Below are 6,384 nucleotides of genomic sequence, written 5' to 3' on the forward strand. Positions count from 1 at the left end.
GTATGAACTTAGTTATAGAATGTGTTCATGGTCACTTAGCGAAGTATCCCTCCTGTTTCAAAGCATGAGCTTCTTATTCACAGCTATTCCACTCCAAATGCATATCTCAGATGTAAAAGGCTTCGTATTCACATGGTACTTAGTGTAGCGATATAAAGATGATTATCTCTCAATAAATATATTTCCTGAAAGCATTAATAGTAAAGACACAAATAATCCATTGTAAAACAAAGAATGTTGTCACGAACATTTGATTTCTTGTTTCAAAAGATAGGTTTGCTGCCAGACAGATTTCCTGTGCCAGATTTTTCATCACCAACAAAATTTTCAAAAAGATTTTCATTCACTTTCTGACTACCTTTGGCCTATGTCCAAATTCTTTCTTAAGCGATTCCAAATTTAATTTTAACGTCAAGTGCTGCAGCTGAATATAAGGAATGTAGAGCTGGAGCAGAAATTCACCTTGCAGAGAAATGAAATTCATTTTAATTGGGAGCAAAGGAAGGAACTATCCTGAGTTTGCATGCTTTATCCAGTCCTGTTCTAACTTTTTATGCCTGGTCTTCTTGCTTCCTTAACCCTTAGACTCAGACCCGTCCACACTCTTGGGGCTCATTCTAGCTTGACCGTGATACTAAATGTGAGCCCTTCTTAAGAAAGTTGTAGACTCACTAAAGTTCCAGTCAAGTTTATTGCATGTTGTTCCAACACCTTTACCAAAATTCTAACCTCATCATGCCCAAACTCCCCTTTTTTCTCTATAACCTATTATTTGCAGGGCATAAATGACTGCCAAATTGAAAGGCTGGTCCAAGGATGAATATCTGCTCTGGACGCTAGGCTGGCCTAACCTAGTAGCACAGTTGCTATTTCTTTGTGTTAGCCCATAACAGGCATGTAGGTATCATTTCAAAGATGCTGAGTTACATAATTGTACTTACAGAAAAGGAAGCATGGTGTAGTGACTGAATGGACTCTAGAGTCAGGCTGTTTGGGCTGAATTCTCAGCTTTGATACTTACAAATTGTTTGACCTCAGACAACTTATTTAGCCTCTTAATATATTGGATTTCTCAACTGCAAAGTGGGAATGATAATAGGTCTTACCTCATAGAGTTTTGGGGGATTAAAATGAGTTAATATATGTCAAGCATGTAAAATAATGCTAGCATTCAACAGTGTAGCTATGATTGTTTAAGACTTGCTGAATGAGTAAATAAATAAATAAGTAAACTATTGTGTAACACAATTTTTCTTGAAGTCCTAACCTCTACTACAATAAGTTAAAATGAAATCATTAGACTGGGCCCTAATCTAATATGACCTGTGTCCTTATAAAAAGAGGAAATTTGGACAAAAAGCAGTTATAGAAAGAAGACCAAGTCAAGATACAGGAAAATATGGCTATCTACAAGCCAGGGAGAGAGGCCTGAGAAGAAACCAACTCTGCCAACAACTTGATCTCAGACTTCTAGTCTCTAGAACTGTGAGAAATATGCTTCTGTAGTTTAAGCCACCCAGTGTGTGATACTTTGTTATGGCAGCCCTAGTAAACTAATACAAAAAAAATAGTGTTTTCTTCCTCTAATCTGTGTTTTTTTGGTAAATGATATCTTCATCCTTACAGCTGTTGAAGTAAAATACCATAGGGTAAATTTTTATTTTCCTTTTGTCTCACTGCTTGCACCTGGATCCAAACAATTAGCAAATTCTCTTCTCTACCTTGAAATACATCCAACTTCAACTGAGTCAACTCTACCTCTTAATTTTAAGCCACCATCTTCTCTCTGTGTTCACTTCTATCCACTCTCATATCACCTCTGTGAAACTTTTCTACATCTGCATTGATGTTTCCCTTCTTCATATATGCTAGTTTCATTCACAATCTGAGAACTTTTCACTTACTCACTAATTATTTATTTTGCCTACAATTATCTGAGATCTTTTTCTTTTAAATCTTCACCTCATTAAAACTTTTGATCATTTGGGTCTTAGCTAAATGGGCTCACAAGGAGAACTTTTAAAACCTCTTGATCTGCCATACCTGCCAAATTACTTTGTTTTGTTTTCATATATTTATTATTTTTTATATTTGCCTATTTAGGATTTTGTTGGTAAAGAATGTTTATTGGATTTACTAGAATTGGCAACTTGTTTTCACAGTTGAAAACAAGAGATATTGAATATCCCTATATTCTTTTTCTTTGTTAATGAAATGAAAAAGGAAACTCCTATAACTGAAGGCAGACAATTCTCTTTCAGGTTTACTCGAAGGCAGCAAAATTGGCCCTACTCCCAACCCTGCAACATGCACCATTTCCATAAACAATCTACAGAGATGGCTGAGAAAAAGAAAAAGGGGTACTCTCCTTTACCCCTTCTCCAAAGCCCGATGAAGTAAAGAGTAGAAATCAAGAGTGTCTACAAGAATTGGGGATTGGCATTGATTCTCCACTGTGTGATTACTCATGCTTTATGGCAATGTGCCTATTTAAAGGGCAGGTAATGACTTAGCAAGAAGGAAGGAGAGAGAATGTCAAACTCACCTGAAGTCTTACCAATTGGTGTGGCAGGTATGTGGCTGTTTCCCATGAGTGAATACACTATAAGATTATTAGGCTCTAGCTGTTTTGCTTGTATCTAATCCAGGTGACACCAGCATTTAGAGACTATGAGGTGTACTGGGAGCTGAGATAATGAAAGAGGTAGCATTAAAGTAATATCCCCCAAATTATGGCAGATCTATGGTTAGAAGCCTAAGAATAACATGTGAAAACCTCATGTCAGAGCCTGACAATATACCAGAATTTGGATACCTGCCATACAGAAGGTACCAGCCGCCAAGGGGTAACTGTCAGAAAAGTGACAACAATCACAAGTTGGGAAAAGGACTTGTCTCTTTGCCCCTCACTCCTCTCTGTGCCCAATAATTTGGATGAGCTATTGCCTACAGAATGAAAGGAGAGTTGTAGGGCTATGAATCAAATATGAGACAAGTTTTAAATGAGAAGAAAGTAACATTTAATAAGCAAAAATGCCCAGAGAACTATGGAATCATCCCAAGAAAGGATTAATAAACAAAAATTGGATTCAATAGAAAACACATCAGAGAAAAAAGTTAATATTTTTATACCATAGATGTGAGAGTCCTTAATGCACTAGTTACAGCATATTAGTGCATTATGTACATTCCATGTGACTCTCTTATTACCACTATACCCACAATGCTTAGAACTGGGTCCTCAATAATCGAGTATGGGTGGCTAAAGGACTTTTCATTTTATGTGGCAGAGGATAATAATAAAAAAAGAAATAATAGAGGAAGAAACTGGCTTTGGTGTTCTAGACATATTAGGGCTGAAACCCAAATATTCAGTTACCTGTTTTGCTTGGCCTACATCCATTTTCAGCAGTGCACTCAAAGTCTCCAAAGAAATTTGCAGAGAATTTCTTCCAGTAGCCCCAAGAGTTCTCAGCATAAGTACTGGAAAAACTCACTAGCATGGAGGATGCTTCTCTCCAGTGGAATCAACAGTGGCCTCTGCTGATTCAGAGACTTCAGTGTTCCACAGTGAAACTAGATTGTGATGAGAGCAAATATGGCTGGAAGGCAACACTGCTCAGGTGGTTAGAGCGTGAGTTCTGTAGTATCAAGGAGCTTTTTTCTCAGTGTGTCTGTCAGTGGAGAATTTGGGGGAAAGATCAAATCAAATTGCTAAATAAAACATAAAGCCCCACAGAGATGGAAGCCAGCAATATGTGTATGCTGTGGTTTGGGTGCCCCCTTTACCTTCCAGAATGTCTTTGAACTGCATGTTGAGCTGGTTTCACCTGGGTGAAAACATGAGGGAAAAGGAAGTAAGGGAAGGATGGACAGATAGTGGTAGAGACTGATGACCACTTCAAGTAAGTGTGCTATCAGGAGAATAACTCTCCCATGTCTTCATAGGAGTCAGTGAACAGTCACCTGTTGTATAGAATCACCCATGGGCAGTCACTGGTTACCAGCAGCAGCACCAACCAACCACCTGAGAATTACACCAATGGTCAGTTAGGCAAAGAGACATCTGCCTCCCTCTCCTCTTCCCCAACACTTAGATTTTACTTATCACTGATTCTTGCATAGAAATGGTTCTGACTGGTGAAAACAAAGAGAAAAATATGTTGAAGGAAGTACCTATGAACCTAATTATTATTTTACTCATTTTTTTCTCCAAAGTCTATTGATAAATAATGTTTTCAGTGTCAACTTTGACTTTATTTTCAATATACAAAGTCAAACTAAAAACTTTCGTATTTCAGGTTGAAATTTATAGTGTAACTCTTTACTTTTAATGGCTTCCAGTTGTTCTATTTTGGTTTCTGGCAGAAATCCTTTTGGTATGTTACATAGAAATATAGATAGATAAAGGAAAGCCAATTATCTTTTCTTTACAGAGAAATATCCTGAATGCTGTAAGTTGAGGGGAATGGCAGGGTATGTACTGGTATGACTGGCCAATACAGAATCTAGTCTAGCTGAGATATGGCTTTTAGTAGGAAGCCTCATAGGGAACATGATGGAGGAAAATCCTTTCATTTATGGTATCAAGAGATTTTCATTTTAATCCCAGCTATATTTTACATCAATGTTGTCATGCATTCTATCTTCTCTGGGCTTGAGATATACAAGATGAGGATGCTGATTTAGCAGAAGTTCAAGCATCCTTTCCAAGGTGAACATCTATGACCACTCAGTGTTGAGAATTACTTCAGACTATTATTAACACTATTATTAACCAAAGGAAGGACCCCCCTGATTACTGATCAGTTCTCCAGTCCATTGGGAAATCCTTCTAAAGGCCATTTCATTTCAGACTGAAATGTACAAATGTATAAAGAGTGGAAAAGACATCAAAACTAAAAATACTATGTTAAACTTTGTTCCATATAGGACAATACATCAAAGATTAAAGTTAGGTTGAAAGCAAAGTTCTATGAGGATAAGAACGGAGTCTGTCTTATTTATTGTTTTATTGTCAGTGCTCAGCTCAGAATGACATTTAAGAAGTGTTTAAATGACTATTGGCTGAATTATTAAATGCAGATAATTGGTTACAGTGAAAAAAAAAAAGTTTGTGGGAAAAAAAACTGCGTAGCTGGATTCCTGTGATCCCACATCATCCCAACCCTGTAAGTTCAGGGTCCAGGCCAATATAAACATGAGACAGAATATAATAATGCAGTATCTGCCTCAGAATCTAGGCAGCAAGACCCACAGCACTTTGCCCCTTGAGTGACCACTGCATTACTTCATTGGATCCCCAGTCCTTCTTGATACCAGAGTGAGTAGGAGTTATTTAATTCCAGTGCTGACTACTAGCCTTCTCTAGTCAAAGCTGACCCTCTGTTGCAGACAATTCACCTCTAATCCCTCATTTCAGAGTCTTCTCTCTCCCTATTGTTATGAGTGCCACTTACAGTCAGGTTTCTGCTTTAATCACTGCTTTATATTCTGACTTAAGTCAGTTGCCAGCTTCTACCGTATCCCAGTGGTGATTGTACACTTAAGTAGATTTCTTAGAGTCCCATAATTATGTAAAGACGCCCCTCACCTAAATCCCAATCCAAAGGCCAAGGCCCCATTATCCATCATCAGCAGTTTCATCCACACAATTTTATCTTATTACCTAGAATTCTGAATTTGCACATCGGCTTTCCCATCCTGTTGCTCTTTTTGGAGCTGCTTTCTATGCAGAATTCTTGCTGTCTTGCTCTTCTGATGGAATCTCCACCTATGGACAGGGCTGATGGGCACAGTAACCTAAATCTTCCTTAGCTTGGTATAAATAAATTATTACATTTGCCAGGTTGTCCTGAGTTGTAATAATAAGTCATTCATTGCACCTATACGAGCAACTAACATCGCTTTTCATTTTTAATCTATGTGAACATGATCTGACAAGAATATTAAATATTCAGACCCTAAATTTTCAAATGATAAACCAGTGGGAAAGTTGTTACTAGAATTTCTAATTTTAAAAGGAATGTTCCATCATATTATTTTTGAAATATGTAAGTAAAAAAAACTAAAATGCACTCATTATCATAGTCTTTAAAATGATGTGTAAAGAACTGAAAGTCTCCCTTTTACTAATTCTATTGTTTAGAGAAAATTATTGTTAGTATTTATTGAGCCCTACCATGTTCCAGAAACTGTTCTAGGCCCTGAGGCTAGAGAATGACCAGAAAAAATTAGGTGCCTTCACAGACCTTATATTTTGATGAGGAATACATACAAGCAAAGGGAAATTAAGAAAAATAAAAGATAAATGATAAGGAGAAAAATAACATTAGGTTAGATACAGGAGCTGTTGGGGGAGAACATACTGAAATATTGGATTCA

The 6,384-nt window shown here is 37.2% G+C and overlaps 1 long non-coding RNA gene across 1 annotated transcript in view; it reads left to right on the forward strand.

The window, feature by feature from the left end:
• LINC02822 (long intergenic non-protein coding RNA 2822) overlaps nt 1–5,975 on the forward strand; it is an 89,782-nt gene extending 83,807 nt beyond the window's left edge. Inside the window, exon 4 of the long non-coding RNA XR_429171.5 lies at nt 2,262–5,975. This is a non-coding gene — a long non-coding RNA (long intergenic non-protein coding RNA 2822). The remainder of the gene's footprint in view (nt 1–2,261) is intronic.
• Nucleotides 5,976–6,384: the final 409 nt, after the last annotated feature.

Source organism: Homo sapiens, chromosome 12 (genome assembly GCF_000001405.40).
Source record: "Homo sapiens chromosome 12, GRCh38.p14 Primary Assembly".
Lineage (NCBI taxonomy): Eukaryota > Metazoa > Chordata > Mammalia > Primates > Hominidae > Homo > Homo sapiens.